This window comes from Homo sapiens, chromosome 9 (assembly GCF_000001405.40).
Source record: "Homo sapiens chromosome 9, GRCh38.p14 Primary Assembly".
Lineage (NCBI taxonomy): Eukaryota > Metazoa > Chordata > Mammalia > Primates > Hominidae > Homo > Homo sapiens.
This window is the reverse complement of record NC_000009.12, coordinates 76,701,518-76,728,993: the sequence shown is the minus strand read 5'-3', so window position 1 is coordinate 76,728,993 and position 27,476 is coordinate 76,701,518. Positions and strand designations below refer to the sequence as shown.

Sequence of the window (27,476 nt, the reverse complement as noted above, 5' to 3'; positions counted from 1 at the left end):
TTATTCTAATGCCCTAATTGACAAATAAACTTACTGTTAATGGAGTTGTAGCTGTTGGGTCTTGGCTGCTGCTGACTACCATCTATGTATTGAGGGCTGATTGTGTGAGAGATCCTAAGCTAAGTGTTTTATACATTTTCTCATTTTATAAGTAGGTTATTATACTCATTTTCCAGAGGAAAGAACTGAAGCTTAGCCTAATAAGTAACTTGCCTAAAGGTGCAGAGATAACAGGCTGTGGAGCTAGGATGTGAGTCCTGGGCTGCTGTATTCCAAAGCCTATTCTTTTAAGCACTACATTTTATTATTTGCTCATTTGGAGAAGTTAGGGCTGCTTATTTAAAAACACACATACGCAAATATGAACCAAGTTTTTGGAATTTATATTTTTCCCCAGTGACTATCAAAGTTCAGTCAATGACTAGAGAATAGAAACTAGAATCACTGATGTAGAAACTATGTGTAGACAATACAAATTGAAAATATTTCTTTATGTCAATACAGACTCCTGTTCTCCACCCTACCTGCACATTAATCAATGTACCTCCTTGAAAAATATACTGATACCCAGGCCTCACCCTTAAGCCAATTAAATTTAAATCTCATGGGGTGGGCTGTGAGTACTTGTATTTTTTTTTTTAACAGCTCCCTGGGCTATTCTTAGGTATAGCCGGGGTTGAGAATGGATTGAGATGTGAACATACAGGTTTAGATAATTCAGGCCCAGAAATGGGTTTTAATGGGTTTTGATGAGTTTTTCCACATAGCCTAAGTTATTGGGCAAAGATGCTGGTAGCCTGTTATCAGGCAAGAATGCTAGCCATTCATTGAACAGTTGTAATGCCCCATGAGTGTGGCATAACATAGCTATACCCTCAAATATCTGCCATATTTTAGGTTACCATTATGGAGATAAAAGATAGATTTTTCAGGAATCCTAAATATAAGATTTGGCATTTAAAAATGCCCTGTTTAAGGCCAGGCGTCGGGGGGCTCACACCTGTAATCCCAGTACCTTGGTAGGCTGAGGCAGGCAGATCACCTGAGGTCAGGAGTTCAAGACCAGCCTGGACAACATGGTGAAACCCCATCTCTACCAAAAAATACAAAAATTAGCCAAGCATGGTGGCTTGCACCTGTAGTCCCAGTTACTCGGGGAGGCTGAGGTGGAAGGATCACTTGAACCTGGGGGCAGAGGTTACAGTGAACCGAAATCACCCCACTGCACTCCAGCCTGGGTGACAAAGTGAGACCCTGTTTCAAAAAAAAAAAAAAAAAAAAAAGCCCTGTTTACCCATAACTAAGTTGGAATAATAGTACAACTTTGCTTGACAAAAAAAAAAAAAAAGAAGAAGAAGAAGAAAGAAACAACTCTGGAAAATACCTGGGTAAACTTCATTTTCCTGGAATAGGAAGTAGATGTTTTATAAAATCTTGGCTCTTTTAAACCATCCTGCTGTTTTCTTTGTTTAAGAGAATCGAAGCTTGGTTTCATTTATAAGCACAGCAATCTAAACTAAAAGACAATTGATGGAAAGATGTTATTTTTACTGGCTTCGAAAAAGGAAATATTTGGCCAATTAATAAAAAGTATTCATGTAGATGCTCCCCATCCCTGATTTACTTTTCTAGTTCTCCTGCCTGTTAAACCAGGCAGAATTAACCATGTGTCTTGCTTTATGTAGTAAGATTTCTGAAACAGTTGAGTGTGACTTGAATTATTTTGTAAGCTCCTAAGAGTCTCCTGCTGTTTTTCTCTAAAGCAGTGGTTCTTAACTGGGGTGATTTTGCCCCACAGGGGACATATTTAGTTGTCATAACTAGGGCAGGGAGCTTGCTACTGGCATCTAGTGGGTCAAGGCCAGATATGCTATAAACACCCTATAAGGTACAAGACAGCCCCCACAGCAAAGAACTGTCCAGCCCCAAATGTCAGTAGTGCCAAGGTTGAGAAACCCTGGTCTAAAGTTATTACTTTTTATCTGTTACGAATTTAGGTTTTTTTCTGTATTTGGCTTGCTTAGAGCCCTTCTATAAATCACTCTTGTATAAAATAATGACAATTAAATTACTACTCTTGTTCCACCAGAGTGAGCCCAGGTATTCTCTGCCTGGAAGGCTGGGCCTGTAGAACATTTCAAATTTGTATTTAAAGCATTTTAATGCCTCATAGATGGTACTAATAGCAATGGAAGTTTGACAGTTATAGTGGAGATTTGAGCTTCTGAAGACTTCAAGGGCCAAAAAGAGAAACACCCTCATGTTGACCTGAAAGAATAAAGATTAAGGAGGCTTGACTGCTTTTTCCTGGATTGTTTAAATAGTACAATGTATTTTCAATTGATTCAGCATAATTTTCATTCTCTAAGCTTAACGCTTTTATAGATTTATCACTCCTCTTTTTAATACCCTCCTTAATTGGAGCGTAAAATAAAAATTAACATGAAAATAAAAGTTAACTAAATTGTCTCACTAAACTTATCTTTCCAAGCATCATGATTCTCCCTACAACTAGGCTTGGTTGGTTGGAACTAAAATGGGGCTTTGGGAAAGTATCTGATGAGTGTGCATGTGTGTGTTAGAATGTATGTGCGTGTGCCTGTGTATGCGTGTTACACCTTCGTGCTTGATGTCTAAAGTGCCCACCTATGGGCTTATCTGCTCAGCATCCCTCTTCTAGGAAGTGACTCTTACCCACCAACTTTGTTATAACTGGTGTGGTGTCTGTGATTTGTGGTCTTTCCAATCTACCTCAATTGTTTTGCCCAGAGATAGGCACCGAACCCAAGTGGGAACAACCAGAGTTCTTTCTCCAGGGTTTTCAAACTCATGACCAAAAGGGAGTCGTGACTCATTTGGCAAGGTCTACACAGAGATGCTGCAGCCACCTGTGGTTCCCACCGTGTAGAGGATGCCAGTTGGCTGCAGGACAGCAGAATGCAGCCAGAAGAGGATGGAGAGGCAGGACGACCTGCATATCCCTGGCAACCCCTGCCCTTCTCCCAGCGCGTGCTCAGGCTCTTCTTGGCTTCTGTGGGAACACTCCCCAGATCCTGCTGACTTCTTTCTCTACTTAAATCAGTTACAGTTAAGTTTCTGTGACTTGTGACTGAGACAGTCATGACAGCAGCATCCTTACCTGAAGAGGGATTCCTCCAGCTTCTCAAACACAGCCATCTCCAAACAAAAGTAAAACCACAAACCCCAGAGTGTATCTGTTTTCAGGAGGGGGTTTCTGGTAATTAGCTTAGACTGCAACAAATGGTACACACAGACTGCTGGCTCTGCATGTGTGCTCCAAGATTGGTGTTTACCCTATATATGCCAATTTAAGAATGTCATAAAGTTTATCAGTGAGCAAATGGAAATGAGCAAGAACACATAGATGGGTGGTGAAAGGTGTGTGCCTTGATAGATAGATTTTTTTTTTAGACTTCAAAAAAAACTAATTACTTTCATTGGGTTGATAGCAAAGGGGGCACAACCATATTCCCCACTTAAGCTTGGCGATGGTTGGGTATTTTTAGCAAATGAGTTGTCAGCAGAGAGGCTTCATTAGACCCATCAGGATATCTGCCCATGAAGAACGAATCCCAAACTGTACTGACACTTTCATTGAGCCAAAATGATGAAGCACCTCTGACAAGAGCCATATTGTGCTCCCCATGCAAGGAGCGTGAGGAACAAAAGAGACAGTTTGATCTTCATTTGGTCAGGTTAATATTGACACAGCTTAGAAAAATCAGAAGTGTGTGCAATGCACACGTGCAGAAAGTGCTCTGGAGACTTGCCTTGTGGTTTCCATAAATCAGAAAGGGGAACCCAGAGAGGAAAAAAGGTTTTCCTGCTTTCTTGAAATTGGGTTCAAACTAGATGATTTATTTTTACAAAGGAAAATAAAGCTGTCAGTGTTCAGGCTCATGGCTCAAAACAAGCCAACAGGGACTTTTTTTTTAATCTATACATAATTATAGAAATCATTCATTATTATTATTTTTATCTGGGAGCTAGAGTGTAGCCCAGGTTCTACCATTTCAAAAATAGAGCATGGCTAATGAGCGGGGTTTCATTACATGTGTGTCCTGAATTATTCGTTCCCGTATAGAAATCCTTATAAACATACAGAAACAAAAAGGGGCCCTTAAAGGAAACAGCAGTCTAGCCCTTTCCTTGCCAAGCACTTAAGTCCATCCAATAGAGGAAAGTTTTCCTGATTATGGGTCTGTCCTTAAAGAAAATGTAAATTAGGCTGTTAGTTAATGAGGTGATGACTTATTTGTCTTTGATTGGTTGTGAAACTCCCCCATTCAAGTATTCAATCTATTATTAACTGCTTGTAAGAGTGCCTGGGACTACTTTTATTCCAGGCCCAACTCTCTGTCTGTGTAACAACAGTGCTTCTTTATGGAAGATAGGATGGGATGGAAAAAGATGGGAAAGAATTTTAACTCCCTTATTTGAGGTGTGCCTGAAATCAGCCCACTTCATTTCAAGAAGTTCTTTTTGTGTGTGTCTGTGTGACAGGGTCTTGCTCTGTCACCCAGGTTGGAGTGCAGTGATGGGATCTCCGCTCACTGCAACCTCCACCCCCACCCAGGCTCAACCAATCCTCCCATCCCAGCCTCCCCAGTAGCTGGGACCACAGGCATGCACCACCATGCCTGGCTATTTTTTTTTTTTTTTTTTTTTTGTATTTCTATCAGAGACAGGTCTCACCATGTTGCCCAAGCTGGTCTCGACCTTCTGAGCTCAAGTGATCTGCCCGCCTCAGCCTCCCAAAGTGCTGCGATTATAAGCATGAGCCACCGCACCCAGCCTGATTTCAAGGAGTTCTTAACCTGTGCTTTCAGATGAATTATCTCCCAAACATTTTCTCTCTCCCTTCATTAATGATATGCTGGCCGGGTGCGGTGGCTCACGCCTGTAATCCCAGCACTTTGGGAGGCTGAGGCGGGCAGATCACAAGGTCAGGAGATCGAGACCATGGTGAAACCTCATCTCTACTAAAAATACAAAAAGTTAGCCGAGCGTGGTAGCAGGCGCCTGTAGTCCCAGCTACTCGGGAGGCTGAGGCAGGAGAAGGGCGTGAACCCAGAAGGCGGAGCTTGCAGTGAGCCGAGATCGCACCACTGCACCCCAGCCTGGGCGACAGAGCGATACTCCATCTCAAAAAAAAAAAAAAAGAAAGATATGCTTATAGGAGGTAATAAATATTTGCTCCATGACAAGAAAGCAGTGATTTTCAGTTTTCAATAAACATGTTATCTCCCCCTCTATTCTTGAATTCTTCAACTCAAAAGAGGGCATCACAAGAGCTTTTGCTTGAAGAACTCTTGGTTTTTCTTTTCATACTTACGACATGCTTAACCTAAATCAAGCATTTGCAGATGGATGACATTATTATGATTGCCTTTCATAGTTGTACCTTAGTGAGAGGACTTCGCTTTTATGGTCTTCTGTTAAGAAACCTGCTAAGTCAGGAAAAAAACCAAACCAAACCAAAACTAAGCCCCTTTAGCCTCTCTACTCCCCTCTGGCAATTCTAATTTCTAGTTTCTCTGAGTTTTTGAACGTAAGTCAGCTTATATTGGGAGCATCTTTAGATAATAAGATTTGTACATACTGAATGGTAAAGCAGGCTTCTTCCGTTGCTTGTGTGTCTAAGCTACCAGAGCAAGAAAGTCTACGTGAGGATACTTCTGGATAACCAGTGATTATGCCACATCTCCTGTTTTCCCACCCATTGCCTGTGTACACTTGCATGCCCAACTTTTCAAAAGTACATACTACTGCAAGAATATCACAACATTCTTCTTTATAGAAGTTTTGGGTTTTTTCAATTTTAGGATCTTACATATAGTTAACAGTCACCCTACAGTTCTATTTTATAGAGCAGATGAATAACTGGAAATTGCTCACAAAGCATGGTAATGTTCGATCTTCAAAAGACGTAAGCAGCGCATTATTGTTAGCAATTGTCAAAATCAAGGATGTTGCTTGCTTGTGTGTAGTGACAAGAGAGAACCAACACCAAATTGAAATAAATGGAGTAGTTAAAAACTATTTTTATTAAAAACTGAATTAATCAATAATATCTTTGGTGAGGAGGGATGTTCTCATTTAAGGATAAAACAGGAGTGAAAACATGGGCTCTGAAGTTAAACTAACCTGGGTTTAAGTCCCATTTGTCCCACATACGAGCTGTGAGCTGGGTGGCATCAGTTACTTAACCTTCCAAAGCCTCCATTTTCTCAATGCAAAACAGAGACCATGTTACCTATCTCACAGGGGCATCTTAAAGTTTAGATGAGATGATGCAAAGTACTTAACAGAGCACTTAATGCAGAGGCAATACTTAATTATGTCAGGCAATATACTATTGACGTAAATGAAGATTATATTGGCATTTATATGTGTTACATATTCATGTACATATTGTAGTAGTTTTAATTTTCACAAAATATTTTCACAAAAGGGCTCTCTTTTTAGCTATAAAGAATGATAATATGTACTGTCTAACTTTCTTTTCAAAATGTGATGTCTAATATAGTTTTAATAGACCCAGTGAATTTTTACTACTATGATGCTTTGGCTGCCTCATAAAAACAAGAACAATAGAGTGTAGGCTGGGCGCGGTGGCTCACACCTGTAATTCTAGCACTTTGGGAGGCTGAGACAGGAGGATCACTTGAGGTCAGGAGTTCAAGACCAGCCTGGCCAACATGGTGAAACACTGTCTCTACTAAAAATACAAAAAAAAAAAAAAAAATAGCAGGGTGTGGTGGCACACGCCTGTAATCCCAGCTACTCAGGAGACTGAGGCATGAGAATTGTTTGAACCTGGGAGGTAGTGGTTGCAGTGAGCCGAGATCACACCACTGCACTCCAGCCTGGGCAATGAAGAGAGACTCTGTCTCAAAAATAAAAAAGAACAATAGAGTATAAATAAATGACATCTGGAAAAAACATGGAAAATATCTTTGCTTACCAATTAAAGAGTGTACAAAAAACAAAATAAATAAAATCTCTTAATTTATGCATGTGGTGTTCTCATAAATCATTTTCCTGTCAAAATTATCAGACTTTATTATTGCTGAATGTTTTAAATATTACAATGGAATTTTGGTTGCATAAATCATAATCCCTTCAAGTTAGAACATTTGTGTACATACCTCAGCATTTTTCTTATATCTCGATTTTAAAAAATAGCCCTCATTCTAGAAATAAATCCATGCAGACTGTAAATGTCAAACTGTACTCTTAAATTTCAGTAACTCAGCAGTCCAGGCTGGCCACTGTGCTTGCAAGGTAGTTAGGAATTGTCACACTGTGTTTGTAAGACTCACTGTTCCCAAAAATGCAGCCGTACACACTGGTGTTTTAATCTTGGTAATTATTTTTATCTGCAAGCATTTTACTACAAGTGACATATACTCACTTGATTTTTCCATTTCCTGCAAAAACAAACAAACAAACAAAAAAACCCAGAAATAACAAATCTGGGAATTGCTTGTTCCTGACATTAGAAAGTAATTTATTCTTAATAAAAGTCTTACTCAATATATTTCATCTGTAATTTGTGAGGAAGACAACACTATAATAGGTATAGTCCAGAATGCTTGACCTATGTGGGAAGTATTAGCACCAGGAGTAAAATTCACTGAAGGTCATTTGGCCCTTGGAGGTGAAACGGTGGAAATGATGAAAAAGACTATTCATTGTGATTTAGCTGAAGGAAAAATCACTATACATTTTTTTAATGCTTTAAAAGCTGTTGTTTGCATAGTGGCAGACAGAAGCTCATTCACTGAGTCTAACTTGGAATTAAGGATAGAAAATTTGATAATGAGATAAACACTGACCTATCAGTAGGTTTTATACCTTACATCTTTTAGACGGAGTCTCGCTCTGTTGCCCAGGCTGGAGTGCAGTGGTGCGATCTCGGCTCACTGCAAGCTCCGCCTCCTGGGTTTATGCCCTTCTCCTGCCTCAGCCTCTCCGAGTAGCTGGGACTACACGCGCCGGTCACCACGCCTGGCTAATTTTTTGTATTTTTAGTGGAGATGGGGTTTCACCGTGGTCTCGATCTCCTGATCTTGTGATCCGCCCGCCTCAGCCTCCCAAACCTTACATCATTTTTATATGAGTTTACTTCATATTTAACTTTGTGCAACTTCCTCCATCATCTCACATCTAAGAATTTTACATGTAAATCACTTAAATGACTTAAAGATGTGTGTGATTATTATTTGAAAGTTCACATATATTATGGAGAACATAAGGCAAAAATTGTCATAACCAGTCCCCACAGACAGAATCTTGCAAAAGTACTTTCTATGAATCAGATTTAATCCCATAAATCCTGAGAATAACCTAAAAAATAATAATAAAAAAACAGGAAAGGAAAGAGGCTTAATATTTATTGTCTACTATATGTCAGGCACTTGACCAGTCTTTTATATATGCTTTTAGTTCTCACAACAGTCCTATGAGGTGAGGGTTTACAGATGAGGAAACTAAGGCTCATGAAAATGAAGTAACTGATTTGAGTCACCCAGCTAGTGAGTGTCACAGCGAGGGTTAACCTCATGTTTGGCTGACTCGTAGGTCTTTACTACCTTGGCATGAGCTCCCTAAAATAATGGAGAGACACAATAAGGTTTCAGAATAGCAATTTGGCTAAATTATGACAACTTTAATAAATATCAGTGAATCTTAATGTCCATTGTATATTAGAATTCAATACGTATTATTTGAATACGTCTAGAAATGACATTCTACTTTTATGTGGTTATAAAAATTATCTTCCAGTTAACACTGTATCATGAGTGTTTTCCTGTGTCATTAAGTATTCTTTGATAGCATAACTTTTAATAGCAGTTTAACAATCCTTTGTGTGACCATTCTATGATTTACTTAACCATTGCTCTAGTGTTGGACATTTAGATTGTTTGTAAGTTTTAGTTATTAAAGTAATAATCCAGTTAACAGCTTTGTCCACAAATCTTTGTGTACATATATGATTATTTCGTTAGGATATATTTCTAGGCTGGACATGGTGGCTTATGCCTCTAATCCCAGCACTTTGAGAGGCCAAGGTGGGAGGATCATTTGAAGTCAGGAGTTCAGGACCAGCCTGGGCAACATAGTGAGACCCTGTCTCTACAAAAAATAAAAAAATTAGCTGGGCATGGTGGTGCACGCCTGTATTCCCGGCTACTAGGGAGGCTGAGTGGGAGAACAGCTTGAGCCTAGGAGGTTGAGTCTGCAGTGACTCATGATCATACCATTGCACTCCAGCCTGGGTGACAGAGTAAGACCCCAACTCTGAAAAAAAAAAGGAACATATATTTTTTTAATCTTTTTTTTCTTTTAGAGAGGAGCTCTCACTATGTTGCCCAGGCTGGTCTCAAACTCCTAAGTTAAGTGATTCTTCTGCCCTGGCCTCCCAAAGTGCTAGGATTACAGATGTGAGCCACCATGCTCGGCCTAAAAAAAAGAATATATTTCTAAAAAAAAGTTTGATAGTGCCCATTTGGAAATATTTACCAATAATAAGAAAAGAAGAAAATTTGTGTTATTAAAGGATTTCTTTGATTAATGAGTTCAGATCTATTTATTATCCATTTGAATTCCAGTTGTGAATTGTCTTTTATGTTTTGTAACAGTTTTTCCATTGGTATATATCCTTTTTTCATTGATTTATATTAACTCTTATTCTTGAGGACATTAAACCTTTTCCTCCTAGCTAAAAAAAAAAGTAATAATAATAATTGCATTGGGAAACTTTCAGTAGGCTTTAAGCAGGAGAGTGTCATTATTCAATTTATATTTTTAAAAGCTGCCTCTTGGGGAAGGGGTGGAAAAAAAATAAAATAAAGCTGCCCCTTGATGCTATGTGGAGACTACATTACTGAGAGACCAGCTGTGATGCTGCTGCTAAAGTTCTGGCAAGAGATGATGGTGGCTGTGGCTAGGACAGCAATGGAGATGAAGAGATATTAGAGACGTGTTTAGACTACAGATATATTTTAAAGGCAATGTTAATAGGATTTGCTGGTGAATTACGTGAGAGATGAGGAAAAAAACAATCAAGGATAATTCCTAGATGTTGGGTTCGAATAACTGGGTAGACGGTGGTGCCATTTAATAGGACAGACACAACTGAGGAGGCGGTGGGCCATATTTTACTTGAGATACTTATTAAACAGCTACATGCAGATCTCATGTGCATGTAGATTCTGTCATCAGTGGCAGACAAATGGTTTTAAAGCCATGTGGCTGGGTAAGATCATCAAGGAGAAAGTGGAAAGAGAGAAGAGAAAGGGGACAGGAAACAAAGTTGGGTGTGAATATTTGGAGGCTTAATAAGGAAGAGCAACCAGCAAAGGCAACTGAAGGGCAGTCGGTGAATCCGGAGAAAAACAAGGTGTGTGGTGTCAGGAAGGTGAAGGAATTAAGTGTTTCAAAACAGAGGGAGGGTCAATCTCATGGAATACTGTAGAGAATCAAGTAGGGTAAGAAATGGAATGTTATCTTTGGATTTGGCAACCTCGGAGTGCTTGGTACTTTTGAGAAGAGAGTTTCAGTGAAATGACGGAGCCAGATCCCCCACCAGGGGGACTGAGAAGACAACAGAAGGTGAGCATGTGTGAGTGATGCAAGAAGAGGGTTTCTGTCTCTCAAGGATATCTACTGAAATGTTTACAAGACATTCTTTACATCACTTTTGTTTCACACGATGCACTGAAGCTACCAGCAGACAGCATAAAGACTGCCTTTTTCTGAGCAATGAAAAACGTAAAATAGGATATTGTGAGAATGAAAGGTTTCACTGCATCTGCACTTTCAGCTGTGAATGGAGTAATCTATGGGGCACCATCACTATCACTATCTTGGTTTTGATATTAGTTCAGGTACAGCTGTATTATTTCTGTTTTCCTCCTCTGGGTTATAATGAGCATCAACTTCTTTTAGGATTCTTGGGACCTACACCTTAGCTTTTTTGACCAGGAAATAACAAAGGCTTTTTCTCCCCACGTTTCCAGGCTTTCCCACTCATTCCCAAACTAGAAATTACTCAGACAACAAGACACGTGACCTCTAAAAATGTTTAGTCATCGACCCTTCGGAATCACGAGTGACAAAGGGCTGTGACAGGGAGCAATTGCCATTCTCCCTAACTGCTGGCATTAGTATGAGATTTTGCCAGCCAATTCCCAGTTGCAATGATTCATAAAGTAACTTCCTAAATTCCATGCAGCAGTTATAGGCTGGGGTCACAAATGCAGAAGGTGTGTGTGGCTGGTGGGGGGGGTGGTAAGTTCAACAGGAAGTGCTTTTATTGTCTAAATCCTTAGTAAATTGAATGGGAGATATATATGTATGCACGTATATAATTTTAATTTAAGTGGGGGGAACATTTTGGAGACATTTGAGCAGATTAACAAATAGTATTTGTATACATGTAACTAAAACAGTAATTTATCAGGTAGAAGGCAGATGGGGGGAATAAAATGCCAACCTGTATCTACAGTTGGGTTGTGTTGATGATGAAGTGCTGTTTATTCAGGGCCAGCCTAGCTTGTCAGCAACATAAGAGCCACCGCAGCACATGACTCCCTGCGTAGCTAGAAGACAATAATAAATTATCCCCTATGCAAACAGCACCGGCATAAAAGCAGAACAAACACGCTCTGCCTCCTGGAATCCTGAAGATTCTCACTCATTCCCTTGTTTAATTCTGTTTTAAACATGAAACTCTTGACATTATCCCAAGGCCAGTAAGATCGAATCTGGCTTGGAGAGCTGATGAGAATCTGTTTTAGGGTTATTGTAAAATGTATTTTGTTTCTCTAACTTGCCTAGGTGATTCAAATAGTTTTTTGATTTATCAGTGCTTCATTTGGTCCTGTGGAATTTGGGGTCACCCAGGGGAAAACTGAGCTAGAGCACTTGAGGGACATGATGAAAATACAGTCTCTGCAGCCATAAAAAAGGATGAGGTCATGTCCTTTGCAGGGACATGGATGAAGCTGGAAGCCACCATCCTCAACAAACTAACATGGGAACAGAAAACCAAACACTGCATATTCTCACTCATAAGTGGGAGTTGAACAATGAGAACACATGGACACAGGGAGGGGAACAGCACACACTGGGGCCTGTTGGGGGGTTGGGGGGCGAGGGGAGGGAATCTAGATGATGGGTCAATAGGTGCAGCAAACCACCATGGCACACATATACCTATGTAACAAACCTGCGCATTCTGCACATGTATCCCAGGACTTAAAACAAAATTTTAAAAATTAAATTAAATTAAAAATAAACATACCTATACCATTCTGAAAAAAAAATAAAGAAAAAGAAAATATAGTCTTGATCCAGTGCCCAACCTGCTAAATGAGAACCTGTAGCAAATCGGCCCAGAAACGCACACCCTAAGGGGACTTTTATGATGAGGTTGCCATAGGAACAAAGAGCTGGCAGTGTGAGTCAGTACAAGTCCTGTGACAGTGCTGAGAGAGTCCAAAGGACTGGTTTGTAGGAAAATATATCAACTAATAAATCCCTCTCTGGAGTAGTGCTTTTCAGATTTCAACGTGCATTCCAATTCCTAGGATTGTTGGAAAATGCAGATCCTGCTTCAATAGGTCTAGTGTTTTGCCGGAGACTCTGCATTTCCAACAAGATGCCTGGTGTTGCCAATGCTTTTGGACTTGAGTCCATCGAGGTCCTAGAGCCATCAGTTTAACACAGAAGAATTAAAACAGTTTGGAGATCAGCCGGCATTTTTGAATAGGAAACTTTCCACAAGTGTGGCTTTGAACAGTGTTGATTCTACTGATTCTTAATCTTATGCTCAGATACAAATAAAACCTGCCCCCTCTTGTTTCAGTGACCCGGCCAGGAGTGTAGTGAGAATTTTGTTATATGTAAAAATCTCTTAGAAATGTGTGTCTTCTTTCAAGGGTTTATAAATGTATTTGGAGGCCTTTATATACATAACGAAAAATACTTAGAAAGGAAAACTGTAAGGCTTATTGTGCTGAAGCCTTCAGTTACTGGAAATAAGTTGTAGTTAGTTGTAGTCTCTTTTTATTTTTTTCAGGGCTATATCTTTTTTTACAGTTCATAGTTGCTACAAGTTTAGCAATGAGGTTCTTGATTCACCCTCAATGATGGTTTGAAATAATTTTATCTGTTGAACACACATTGTATATGAGTTTTGATTATTTAAAAAATCTCCTTTTAAATATTTAATGTCTTTCTATTGTGGATGAATTAATTTTTTAAACATCTACTTAAAGATTGTTATTAGGCCATTTGGAAAATAAATAAAAAGCATGAAAGCTGACAGTACACACTTTGGAACACACACTTCCAAAAGCATATGTTCCAAACGCATATGACTTATATGATCATAAATGTCATTACAATAGATCCTTGATGTTCATCAGCATGAGAATAGATCCTGAGACCTTTGTGGATTCGTATGTGCAATTCCTTGCAACCAAAAAAGGGAAAGTGGCCCAGTAAGATGCCAGATGAGAGTGGCTGCCTTGGAGTAGACAGCAAAGCCTCCTCGAAACATGGAAGCCCGTGATGGGCGGGGCCTGCCTGCCTACCTACCCAGGGTCTTGTGTGCCCTCTTCAGAGCCTCACAGACCTTGAGATTCAACTCAGCAGAATTACAGAGTACGGGTATGATGGCTTTTTGAAGTGGCTGGTAAATAGTCTAAGCCACAAATACCCAATCCACGAGTTTCAAAGAATGACCACATAGACATTAATGTGGGTATGGGGAAATCTGCAACTCTCTGCACGGCATCGTTCACATCTTCACAGTGGCTGTCCTAGGAGATGTGTGTGGCACTTCCACTTTCTGTGGTACACATTTCTGTGTTGTTTTAGTATCTTACCCATGACAGGCATAATTCTGATTGCTATTATAATCAGAAAAAATGAACAGAATCTTTTAAATCCCTTGAGTGCACATCATGGTGTTTTTTGTTGAGTGACACAATAGACTGTCAGTTGATGAATTATGTGGTATGATCATATATGTGCTAGGATAGATATATATGTGGACTATGATAGAAGATTATGGATGATGGAGCACAGGTTGATTTTGTGTACCTGTCTCTCCAGTCATCCGACAAACATTTCTTGAACAACTAGTATATGCCAGGCATTATGTTAGGGGCTAGCATATGTTCTTCACTGTACTTCTTTAAGGAAGAGAGACACCCACACAGAGAAAGTGGCTCTCATTGTAGTTAATAAAACTCAAAGACCGGACCGGGTGCGGTCTTACGCCTGTAAGCCCAGCACTTTGCAAGGATGAAGTGGGTGGATCAGTTGAGCCCAGGAGTTCGAGACCAGCCTGGGCAAAATGGCAGAACCTGACGCCTACAAAAAAATACAATAAATTAGCTGGGCATGGTGATACACACCTGTAGCCCCAGCTACTTGGGAGGCTGAACTGGGAGGATTGCTTGAGCCCAGGAGGCATAGGTTGCAGTGAGCCGAGATAACGCCACAGCACTCCAGCCTGGGTGACAGTGTGAGACCCTGTCTCAAAAATAAATAAATAAGTACATACATACAGTAAATAAAACTTGAAGCAGCCAGAACATTTTTGCAAATGATATGAGCCACATCTGGGTAATCTGAGGTATTGGGATCCCTTTCTGCAATTATTCATTCCTCCACAGCTGCCACATAGAACAAGCAAATCTGACATCACAGCTCTTTTAAAAATCTCCCAGAATTCTACACTGGAATAAAGATCACCCAGTAAACTCAGCTATGTTGATTCGTAGGAATTTCTCCTTGGAGTTAATAATAATCATTAGAAAAAAAATACAGGAAGAAATAACTTCCTCCTATTCTTATTGTGATAAATTGTAACAATAGCAGACATTCGTATATAGATCCTATAAGCGACAAGAGGGAAAATAGGATTTGCAAATTAAGCATCTGAATAAATATTTTAGAAAAAAATGTTTAGGATATCTGTTCTTTGTCTAAACTATTATTAATAATGGCAAAAACTCCTTTCTTACATGGTTTGGGAAAACAAACAAGCAAAGTGTATTTTAAGCCATAGCATGAAAGTTTCCACTCCTTCTCAAAGCAAACTGTATTTCACTTGCCTTAAATAATAAATATCTCTCCTAAATACATCATAAGACTGGACAAATTTGTGGAACAACTCCCCGCAGCTGGGCAGTTTGACATTAATATCAAATTTCCTGTTGTCGTTTCAGAATTGTCTATTTCACAGCAATATTACCAGTGACTTGAAAGCATTTACAGACAAGTTTGGTTTTGATGTCCTCATCCTGTTCTCCAGCTATCTGTCAGAGGAGCAGCAGCCGAGACGACAGATTGCTGTGTACTCAGAAAACATGGAGCTGTGCAGTCAGGTGAGCCCCTCCTCTGACCCCGTCATGTTCCCTCTGTCCTAACCTGCTGGCTCTCAGAACACACAGTGCAAGACAGAACAGATTGGTGGCTCATGAGCAATTAGCCCAAGAGGTAGAGTCCTAGAGGTTTGAGTTTTAGGAAATGATGGGGGTACTTTTTACATTTGGCCTTTTAAGAAAGCCCCAAAAGCATTTCTCTTCTTGACTGAATCCATAGTGCAAAACATTAGCTCTTTCTCATTCCCAAAAGAGCAAGTTCTCCTTTGGGTGCTATTTTCTTCTAGGACTGCTCCCTGATCATAACTGACAAGGTTTAGCCCCTGTCCCAGGACCGGTTTGGTGCCCAGTGTTTAAGACCTGGTGATCTGATGCTTTAATCAAAGTTAGTTTGTCTCCAGGTACCAGAACTCTGACTAGGTAATCAGTTATCCTCCAGGTTGATAGCTGAGTCTTTTAACCCAAGGCCTAGGAAATAAAAAAAAAAAAGAATTAGATAAATTAATCAAAATAGGCCATCGGATATACCAAGCCAGGTGTACTTAATAACTAATATGAGAACATACATGATTCATTATAATAGGAGCCACACGGGGCCCCAGATGCTTCATTACTTATTTCTCTTCACTAATGGATTCAATGCCTTATGTATCCATGGGTGGCTAGAGGCACAGTCTCTGCCCCTTTCTTTTCTACATCCTCCTTTCTGTCCCCCAAGAGCTCCACTGTAGCTCTCTTGACCCATGCCTATGGGTACTCTCGGGCTCTCTCAAGTCCGAATGTGAAAGAGCATCTCCTCCTCTGACCTGCATCACCAGCCTGTGGTTTTTTCATCACTTTCCTCTGCATTTGGTTTCAAAGCTAAATTTCATCTTTGGTCACTGGCTTCCCAGGGACGGGATTTAGGCCTTGGAAGCCTACAACATGGCGGCTTTCACATCACTTTTAGCAGTAGACCCCTTTTTCAAACCAATGTGAAAATTGGTTCATTGGAAACAGACAAAAGTAGAAGAGCAGATGAAGGAGTTAAAAGCTCTTGAGTTGACCCCAGTCCTCCTCTCTTCTCCCCACCCACCCTCCCCATCCTAGCAATAGCCAGAGGTGGATCGCTGGAATCTTAAGCAACAGAGTCCTGGCTCTGGCCTAGCGAGTTCCTCTTGGCCTGTGTGGTCACACCACTGGCCGAGTCAGCCTTTGCAGCTAGGTTGCCTGGGTACAGAACTCAGGCTCCAGCACTTGTTAGCTGTGTGTTGCTGGACAAGTTATTTAATCTTCCTGTATCTTCATTTCTTCATGGGTAAAATAGGAATAAAAAGAGTTCCTACCTTGTGGAATTACTGTGGTGATTAAAAGAGATAATGATCATAAAACCCTTAGAACCATGCCTGGCACATGAAAGCACTCAATAAATGTTAATTAGTAGTAGTAGTAGTATCTATGTGAGCTCCATGGTGGTAGTGGTGGTTGTTATTATTATTATTAATTTTATCTCTACTAATCCCGTGGGGCCATTTCAAAGGCCCAGCACAACAAAATACTCCTGACATTCCTTAAAAATCAGAAAGCCGTAACCCAGTTCTGGCCTCACACTGACCATCCGTCAGTGTCCCCTTGCCTCCCAGGTTAGCTTTGCCTGTTTTGGGCTCCATGCCTCCGTTACCTGGGGTGAAAGGGACTGAGGGGTCCTGAGTGCTGTTCGGAAAGATCAGACTGCGGGAGCATCTTTGTCTTTCCTACTCTCTCTTTTGCATTCTGAAGCTATCAGAGGTTCAAGCAGCCCTGGCTGCCCCCTCCCAAACAACAGCCTGTCTCCTGATATTGTCCCCTTATTCCAACACTTTTCCTATAGTTGTCAGCAACATGCATTATCTCTGCTTTTTTGCAACTCGAATTACATTGCTATTGGAAGATGGTATTATATTACAGTTAGGAAAGAATAGGTGGTTTAAACTCCTTTACCCAAACGTTCAGGAGCCTTCAAAATCGAGCACCTGGATTTTGAATTAAACAGAGAGACAGTTGGATAGAATTGGAGAAAGGGTTGGTGGTACAGTAATCAGAACTTTCTAAGTTTGAGATCTTCTTTTTCAGACAGATGAACACAGATTAATTTTATATTTAAAAATTAAGCGAGATAAATTGCAAAGTGCAATTGCAAAGTGCAACAGTGCTTGAGTGCTGACACAAATTCCTGTGCCTTCCGACAGATTTGCTGTGAGCTGGAAGAGTGTCAGAACCCTTGCCTAGAACTGGAGCCCTTTGACTGTGGCTGTGATGAGATCCTGGTGTACCAACAAGAGGACCCTTCAGTGACTTGTGATCAGGTGGTTCTCGTTGTCAAGGAAGTCATCAACAGGAGGTGTCCAGAGATGGTCTCCAATAGCCGGACATCCTCAACAGAAGCCGTGGCAGGCAGTGCCCCCCTCTCCCAGGGGTCTTCTGGGATTATGGAATTGTATGGTTCTGACATAGAGCCACAACCCAGCTCTGTGAATTTCATAGAGAACCCTCCAGATCTCAATGATTCTAACCAGGCTCAGGTGGATGCCAATGTAGACCTTGTTAGCCCAGACAGCGGACTGGCTACCATTAGGAGCAGCCGCTCATCCAAGGAGAGCTCTGTTTTCCTCAGTGACGACAGCCCCGTGGGAGAAGGTGCTGGGCCTCACCACACCCTTCTCCCAGGGCTTGACTCCTACAGCCCCATCCCTGAAGGGGCGGTGGCGGAGGAACATGCATGGTCTGGAGAACACGGTGAGCACTTCGACCTCTTCAATTTTGACCCAGCACCCATGGCTTCTGGGCAGTCCCAGCAATCTTCTCATTCTGCAGACTACTCCCCAGCAGATGACTTCTTCCCCAACAGTGACCTGTCAGAAGGACAGCTCCCCGCTGGGCCTGAAGGACTTGATGGCATGGGAACCAACATGTCTAATTATTCATCCAGTTCACTTTTGTCAGGGGCTGGCAAAGATAGCCTTGTGGAACATGATGAGGAGTTTGTCCAGAGACAAGACAGTCCCAGAGATAACTCTGAAAGAAATTTGAGCCTGACAGATTTTGTGGGAGATGAATCCCCTTCCCCAGAAAGGCTAAAAAATACTGGAAAGAGGATCCCACCAACACCCATGAATAGTTTAGTAGAAAGCTCGCCATCCACTGAAGAACCAGCCTCACTCTATACAGAAGATATGACCCAAAAAGCAACTGACACAGGTCACATGGGGCCACCTCAGACCCATGCACGGTGCAGCAGCTGGTGGGGTGGTTTGGAAATTGACTCCAAAAATATTGCAGATGCGTGGAGTTCCAGTGAACAGGAATCTGTTTTCCAGAGCCCTGAATCATGGAAAGAGCATAAGCCAAGCTCCATTGATAGGAGAGCCTCAGATTCTGTATTTCAACCAAAGAGCCTCGAATTTACAAAGTCAGGTCCCTGGGAGTCTGAATTTGGTCAGCCTGAACTGGGTAGCAATGATATTCAAGACAAAAATGAGGAAAGCTTGCCGTTCCAGAACCTGCCCATGGAGAAGTCACCTTTGCCAAATACATCTCCCCAAGGAACAAACCACCTGATAGAAGACTTTGCTTCTTTGTGGCATTCTGGTCGCTCTCCCACAGCCATGCCCGAGCCCTGGGGAAATCCTACAGATGATGGTGAACCAGCAGCTGTGGCGCCATTCCCAGCCTGGAGTGCATTTGGTAAAGAAGATCATGATGAAGCTTTAAAAAATACCTGGAATTTGCACCCAACAAGCAGCAAGACACCTTCTGTTAGGGACCCGAATGAGTGGGCCATGGCAAAAAGTGGGTTTGCCTTTTCTTCTTCAGAACTACTGGACAATTCACCCAGTGAGATAAACAATGAAGCAGCTCCAGAAATCTGGGGCAAGAAAAACAATGACTCCAGGGATCACATCTTTGCACCTGGAAATCCCAGTTCTGATCTGGATCACACATGGACTAATTCTAAGCCACCAAAAGAAGATCAGAATGGTTTAGTGGATCCTAAAACTAGGGGCAAGGTATATGAAAAGGTAGATTCCTGGAACCTTTTTGAGGAGAATATGAAGAAAGGAGGGTCAGATGTCCTAGTTCCTTGGGAAGATTCCTTCTTATCTTACAAATGTTCTGATTACAGTGCATCCAACCTAGGAGAAGATTCGGTGCCTTCCCCCTTAGATACCAATTATTCCACCTCAGACTCTTACACATCACCAACATTTGCTGGAGACGAAAAGGAAACTGAACACAAGCCATTTGCTAAAGAGGAAGGTTTTGAGTCAAAAGATGGTAACTCCACGGCAGAGGAGACTGACATTCCTCCTCAGTCACTGCAACAGTCATCTCGAAATCGAATCAGTTCAGGTCCTGGGAACCTAGACATGTGGGCTTCACCTCATACAGATAACAGTTCTGAAATAAATACCACTCACAACCTGGATGAAAATGAACTCAAGACAGAGCACACAGATGGTAAGAATATCTCCATGGAGGATGACGTCGGGGAAAGCAGCCAGTCCAGTTACGACGACCCCAGCATGATGCAACTGTACAATGAAACAAACCGACAACTCACACTTTTGCACAGCAGCACCAACTCCCGGCAGACGGCCCCTGACAGTCTCGACTTGTGGAACAGAGTGATTTTGGAGGATACTCAGTCCACTGCAACGATCTCAGATATGGACAATGATTTGGACTGGGATGACTGCAGTGGGGGTGCGGCAATCCCCAGTGATGGTCAAACAGAAGGATACATGGCTGAAGGTTCCGAGCCGGAAACCCGATTTACAGTGAGACAGCTGGAACCCTGGGGCTTGGAGTATCAGGAAGCAAATCAGGTAGATTGGGAGCTCCCTGCCTCTGATGAGCATACCAAGGACAGTGCTCCCAGTGAACATCACACATTGAATGAGAAAAGTGGGCAGCTAATTGCAAACAGTATTTGGGATTCTGTCATGAGAGATAAAGACATGTCATCATTCATGTTACCAGGCTCCTCACATATCACAGATTCAGAGCAAAGGGAATTGCCTCCTGAAATCCCCAGCCATTCAGCAAATGTTAAAGACACTCATTCCCCAGATGCGCCAGCAGCCTCTGGAACCAGTGAATCAGAGGCACTTATATCTCATCTTGACAAGCAGGACACAGAGAGGGAAACCCTGCAAAGTGATGCAGCATCCTTGGCGACTAGGCTTGAGAATCCAGGGTATTTTCCACACCCAGATCCATGGAAAGGTCATGGCGATGGACAAAGTGAAAGTGAGAAGGAAGCCCAGGGAGCCACTGACAGGGGGCACCTTGATGAAGAGGAGGTGATCGCCTCTGGTGTGGAGAATGCCTCAGGGATTTCTGAAAAAGGGCAGAGTGACCAGGAACTGTCTTCTCTGGTTGCATCTGAACATCAGGAAATCTGCATTAAATCAGGCAAAATCAGCTCTCTTGCTGTCACTTTCAGTCCTCAAACCGAGGAACCAGAGGAAGTTTTAGAGTATGAGGAGGGGTCTTACAATCTAGACTCCCGTGATGTGCAAACAGGGATGTCCGCAGATAACCTGCAGCCAAAAGATACCCATGAAAAACACCTCATGAGTCAAAGAAATTCAGGTGAAACTACTGAGACTTCAGATGGGATGAATTTCACAAAATATGTATCTGTACCTGAAAAGGATCTTGAGAAAACTGAAGAATGTAACTTTCTAGAGCCAGAGAACGTGGGTGGAGGGCCACCTCACAGAGTTCCCCGAAGTCTTGATTTTGGGGACGTCCCTATAGACAGTGATGTGCATGTCAGCAGCACATGTTCTGAGATAACCAAAAATCTTGACGTTAAGGGGTCTGAAAATAGCCTTCCAGGAGCCGGTTCGTCTGGAAATTTTGACAGAGATACTATTTCTAGTGAGTATACTCATTCAAGTGCATCAAGTCCTGAGTTAAATGACTCTTCAGTTGCACTGTCCTCCTGGGGCCAGCAACCCAGTTCTGGGTATCAAGAAGAAAACCAAGGCAACTGGAGTGAACAGAATCACCAAGAATCTGAACTAATTACCACTGATGGCCAAGTAGAAATAGTTACCAAAGTGAAGGATTTAGAGAAAAACAGAATAAATGAGTTTGAAAAGAGCTTTGATCGCAAAACTCCTACATTTTTAGAGATCTGGAATGACTCAGTTGATGGTGATTCCTTTTCCTCTTTATCCAGTCCTGAAACAGGCAAATATTCTGAACATTCAGGGACACATCAGGAAAGCAATCTAATTGCTAGCTACCAGGAGAAAAATGAACATGACATTTCTGCAACTGTGCAGCCAGAGGATGCCAGGGTCATTTCAACAAGCTCAGGTTCTGATGATGACAGTGTCGGTGGTGAAGAGTCAATAGAGGAAGAGATCCAGGTGGCCAACTGCCACGTTGCTGAGGATGAATCCAGAGCTTGGGATTCATTGAATGAATCTAATAAGTTCTTGGTCACAGCTGATCCTAAGTCTGAAAATATTTATGACTACCTAGACAGCTCAGAGCCAGCAGAGAATGAGAATAAGTCAAACCCATTCTGTGACAATCAACAAAGCAGCCCTGATCCCTGGACTTTCTCACCATTAACGGAGACTGAAATGCAGATTACAGCAGTGGAGAAGGAGAAGAGATCTTCTCCAGAAACAGGGACAACAGGAGATGTTGCATGGCAAATATCTCCCAAAGCTTCGTTCCCAAAGAACGAAGATAATTCTCAACTGGAAATGCTGGGCTTCTCAGCTGATAGCACTGAGTGGTGGAAGGCCTCACCCCAGGAAGGGAGACTAATTGAAAGTCCATTTGAAAGGGAGCTGTCTGACTCCAGTGGTGTGTTGGAGATAAATTCTTCAGTACACCAAAATGCCAGTCCCTGGGGAGTACCAGTTCAGGGTGATATTGAGCCCGTGGAAACACACTATACTAATCCTTTTAGTGACAACCATCAGTCACCCTTTCTGGAAGGTAATGGGAAGAACTCCCATGAGCAACTCTGGAACATTCAACCAAGGCAGCCAGACCCAGATGCTGACAAGTTCAGCCAGCTTGTAAAATTAGACCAAATTAAAGAAAAGGACTCAAGAGAGCAAACCTTTGTGTCTGCTGCTGGTGATGAGCTGACTCCTGAAACACCTACCCAAGAGCAGTGTCAGGACACCATGCTGCCAGTCTGTGATCATCCGGACACAGCCTTTACTCACGCAGAGGAAAATAGTTGTGTTACATCTAATGTTTCAACTAATGAAGGTCAAGAAACAAATCAGTGGGAACAAGAAAAATCATACCTAGGTGAGATGACAAATTCAAGCATTGCCACAGAAAATTTTCCTGCTGTCAGTTCTCCCACCCAACTGATAATGAAGCCAGGCTCTGAATGGGATGGCTCTACCCCAAGTGAGGACTCCCGAGGTACCTTTGTGCCAGATATTTTACATGGCAACTTTCAAGAGGGTGGGCAGCTGGCCTCTGCCGCGCCTGACTTGTGGATAGATGCTAAGAAGCCCTTCAGTTTGAAAGCAGATGGTGAGAATCCTGATATCCTGACGCACTGCGAACATGACAGCAATTCTCAGGCTTCCGACAGCCCTGATATATGTCACGATTCTGAAGCAAAGCAAGAGACTGAGAAGCACCTCAGTGCTTGCATGGGACCTGAAGTGGAATCCAGTGAGCTTTGTCTCACTGAGCCAGAGATAGATGAAGAACCCATTTATGAGCCTGGACGGGAGTTTGTCCCATCCAATGCAGAACTCGATTCTGAAAACGCAACTGTGCTGCCTCCAATTGGCTATCAAGCAGACATAAAGGGCTCCTCTCAGCCCGCCTCTCATAAAGGTTCACCTGAACCTTCTGAAATAAACGGTGACAACAGTACAGGTTTACAAGTATCAGAAAAAGGAGCCAGCCCAGATATGGCACCAATTTTGGAACCAGTTGACAGAAGAATCCCAAGGATTGAAAATGTGGCAACTAGCATTTTTGTAACTCACCAAGAGCCAACTCCAGAAGGTGACGGTTCTTGGATATCAGACAGCTTTTCTCCTGAAAGTCAGCCTGGTGCAAGAGCTTTGTTTGATGGTGATCCACATTTATCCACAGAGAATCCTGCCTTGGTTCCTGATGCTTTGCTAGCCTCAGACACTTGTCTGGATATAAGCGAAGCTGCCTTTGACCACAGTTTCAGCGATGCCTCAGGTCTCAACACATCCACGGGAACAATAGATGACATGAGTAAACTGACATTATCCGAAGGCCATCCGGAAACGCCAGTTGATGGGGACCTAGGGAAGCAAGATATCTGCTCATCTGAAGCCTCGTGGGGTGATTTTGAATATGATGTAATGGGCCAGAATATCGATGAAGATTTACTGAGAGAGCCTGAACACTTCCTGTATGGTGGTGACCCTCCTTTGGAGGAAGATTCTCTGAAGCAGTCGCTGGCACCGTACACACCTCCCTTTGATTTGTCTTATCTCACAGAACCTGCCCAGAGTGCTGAAACAATAGAGGAAGCTGGGTCTCCAGAGGATGAATCTCTGGGATGCAGAGCAGCAGAGATAGTGCTTTCTGCACTTCCTGATCGAAGAAGTGAGGGAAACCAGGCTGAGACCAAAAACAGACTGCCTGGATCCCAGCTGGCTGTGCTGCATATTCGTGAAGACCCTGAGTCCGTTTATTTGCCGGTAGGAGCAGGCTCCAACATTTTGTCTCCATCAAACGTTGACTGGGAAGTAGAAACAGATAATTCTGATTTACCAGCAGGTGGAGACATAGGACCACCAAATGGTAAGAAACATTCCATTCTTCCACTTCCAAGAAACTGCTGCGTTGATTAAACTAGTGCATATTTGTAAGACACACTCTTCCTACCAATGAGGGTAGAGAGAAAACTAACTACATTTTCAAGGCATGCCTCACTAAGTCCTGTATTATAACAGCAGTAAAATCTAGTGCATATGTAATACCTATTCCTGATAGTGCACGAGAAAATCGAATGACTCTACAAAATAAAAATATTTTCTAGCTGGGCGCGGTGGCTCACGCCTGTAATCTCAGCACTTTGGGAGGCCAAGGAGGGGGGATCACCTGATGTCAGGTGTTCGAGACCAGCCTGGGCAGCATGGTGAAACCCCATGTCTACTAAAAATACAAAAATTAGCTGGGCGTGGGGGCAGGTGCCTGTAGTCCCAGCTACTCGGGAGGCTGAGGCAGAAGAATAGCTTGAAACCAGGAGGTGGAGGTTGCAGTGAGCCGAGATCACACCATTGCACTCTATCCTGGGTGACAGAGCGGGACTCTGTCTCAAATGAATGAATGAATAAATAAATAAAATATATAAAAAATATTAAATTACCTCTTTTAGATGATCATTTGCAAGGATCACAAATCACACAATGTGTTAATTAAACCTTTTTCTCCTCTTCTCACTTTCAACTTCCACTTCTAGGTGCCAGCAAGGAAATATCAGAATTGGAAGAAGAAAAAACAATTCCTACCAAAGAGCCTGAGCAGATAAAATCAGAATACAAGGAAGAAAGATGTACAGAGAAGAATGAAGATCGTCATGCACTACACATGGATTACATACTTGTAAACCGTGAAGAAAATTCACACTCAAAGCCAGAGACCTGTGAAGAAAGAGAAAGCATAGCTGAATTAGAATTGTATGTAGGTTCCAAAGAAACAGGGCTGCAGGGAACTCAGTTAGCAAGCTTCCCAGACACATGTCAGCCAGCCTCCTTAAATGAAAGAAAAGGTCTCTCTGCAGAGAAAATGTCTTCTAAAAGCGATACGAGATCATCTTTTGAAAGCCCTGCACAAGACCAGAGTTGGATGTTCTTGGGCCATAGTGAGGTTGGTGATCCATCACTGGATGCCAGGGACTCAGGGCCTGGGTGGTCTGGCAAGACTGTGGAGCCGTTCTCTGAACTCGGCTTGGGTGAGGGTCCCCAGCTGCAGATTCTGGAAGAAATGAAGCCTCTAGAATCTTTGGCACTAGAGGAAGCCTCTGGTCCAGTCAGCCAATCACAGAAGAGTAAGAGCCGAGGCAGGGCTGGCCCGGATGCAGTTACGTTGCAGGCTGTCACCCATGACAATGAATGGGAAATGCTTTCACCACAGCCTGTTCAGAAAAACATGATCCCTGACACGGAAATGGAGGAGGAGACAGAGTTCCTTGAGCTCGGAACCAGGATATCAAGACCAAATGGGTAAGCAAAAAGCTAGATTTATTTTTTTTCCTGAAAAGCAATTTATTTAGAAACCTGGGAAATGGTTAGAGGTTATGGAATATGAGGAATACCTGGATGATAGCAGCTTTGCTTATATTGAATGCAAGGCACACCATCAGTAAAAGCAGCTACTAGATAACTATAACCATAATGATAATTTATGTACATTTTCAGCCAAAAAGCCCCTTCAATTTTCATTCAGTCTTATACCTACCCCCCAACTGCCACCCCACCTACTTGAATACCTACATGACTCTTCAACAGGCAGTTGGGAATACAAGGAAGTGACACTAACATTTAATCAGCACCTACTATGTGCAAGGCAGTTTGCATACATTATCTCATTTAATCCTAACATGCCAGTGGGGGGAATGGAAGGAGTAGGGTTGAGTAGGGGGATTCAAGGCTCAGAAATTTTCTATAATTTGCCTAGAATTAAGTAACCAGAGTGAACACCTGGGATTCGAAGCTTGCCACCTCCAAAGCCTGTACTTTCTCAGTTGACACACCGCTTAGCATACAGAGGCATTTTCATATTTTCAAATACAAGGCATTTTCTGGTTTTATGTAAGCACCTAACTTATAGTTAGATAAGAGACAGGCTCCACAGCAGTCTCCAAATCTCAGTGTAACACATTCATTCCCTAATTGGCAGAGAAATTGGCAAACTGTCATTAAATCAGTGATTCATTCATTCATTCATTCACCATGTGGTTTTTGAGAGCTTGCTCTGTGCCGTGGTTCTGGGTAGCCAATGGGCATATATCAGGGAATAGGATGTCATCACTGCCCTCAAGCTTCCAGTCTCTGCTGAAACTGTTTAGCATTCTTCATTTCTCTTCATTTGTGTTTATGAAGCCCACCTGCTTCCAGGGACAAAAGAACAAATTGTGAAAAGTAACTTAAGTAACGGGGAAAGTCATGTTTTCTCCTTAAAATGTAATAGAGAAAAGATATCGGCCAGGTGCGGTGGTTCATACCTGTAATCCCAACACCTTGGGAGCCCAAGGTGAGTGGATCACTTGAGGTCAGGAGTTTGAAACCACCCTGGCTAACATGGTGAAACCCCGTCTCTACTAAAAATTCAAAACTTAGCTGGGGTGGTGGCAGCACCTGTAATCCCAGCTACTTGGGAGGCTGAGACAGGAGAATTGCTTGAACCTGGGAGGTGGAGGTTGCAGTGAGCCGAGATCGTGTGACTGCACTCCAGCCTGAGTGACAGAGCCAGACTCCGTCTCAAAAAAAAAAAAAAGCGAGAAAAGATATATTTTTGCTACTCAGCTTGGGAGTGTAAAGGACTATACACATCACATACCCACAGTGAGTCAAGGAATCTGGATTCCAGCCTGCCTCTACCATGACTGATTATACATTTTAGGATTAATCCCAGGCTTAGGTTTTCTCATGCGTAAAATTAGTGAGTTGGGCTGAAAGATCTCAAGGCTTCCTGCAGTATTAAATTCTGGGAACTTAATTTGTGTGGAAACAGAATGTGTCCAGGGGAGCTTTGGCATTCACAAATTACATTTCTTGATGAAAGGAACAAGGACAATGGAAAGAATAGCTGGGGTATGTTGAGGATTAGCCAAGTGCAGAAGGGGTTAAAAGCTCTACCATATTCCAGGGCAGCTTCATAAATCCAGACATTGTCAGCTGGCCTAATCCTTCTTTCTTCCTGTCAAGCTATTTTCTTCCAGAGAGACCCCAGATCCGTTATCAGAAAGAGAGTAGCAGATGGATCCCAGCAGCCCTGCTGGCATTGTTATAGATTGAGCTCAGAACTCAGGCAGCCATGAGT

General features: G+C 42.3%; 1 protein-coding gene across 34 annotated transcripts in view; it reads left to right on the top strand.

The window, feature by feature from the left end:
* The window catches only part of PRUNE2 (prune homolog 2 with BCH domain), a 294,739-nt gene that overhangs the window by 177,121 nt on the left and 90,142 nt on the right, over positions 1-27,476 (top strand). For all 34 annotated transcript variants that reach the window (NR_131751.2, XM_047422884.1, XM_017014349.2 and 31 more), the window contains 3 exons: positions 15,273-15,431; positions 17,636-24,233; positions 24,895-25,657. Coding sequence is in view for 33 of the 34 variants with exons in the window: in XM_047422884.1 (XP_047278840.1) it covers positions 15,273-15,431; positions 17,636-24,233; positions 24,895-25,657 (7,520 nt within the window). In the remaining variant the exon portion in view is untranslated. The remainder of the gene's footprint in view (positions 1-15,272; positions 15,432-17,635; positions 24,234-24,894; positions 25,658-27,476) is intronic.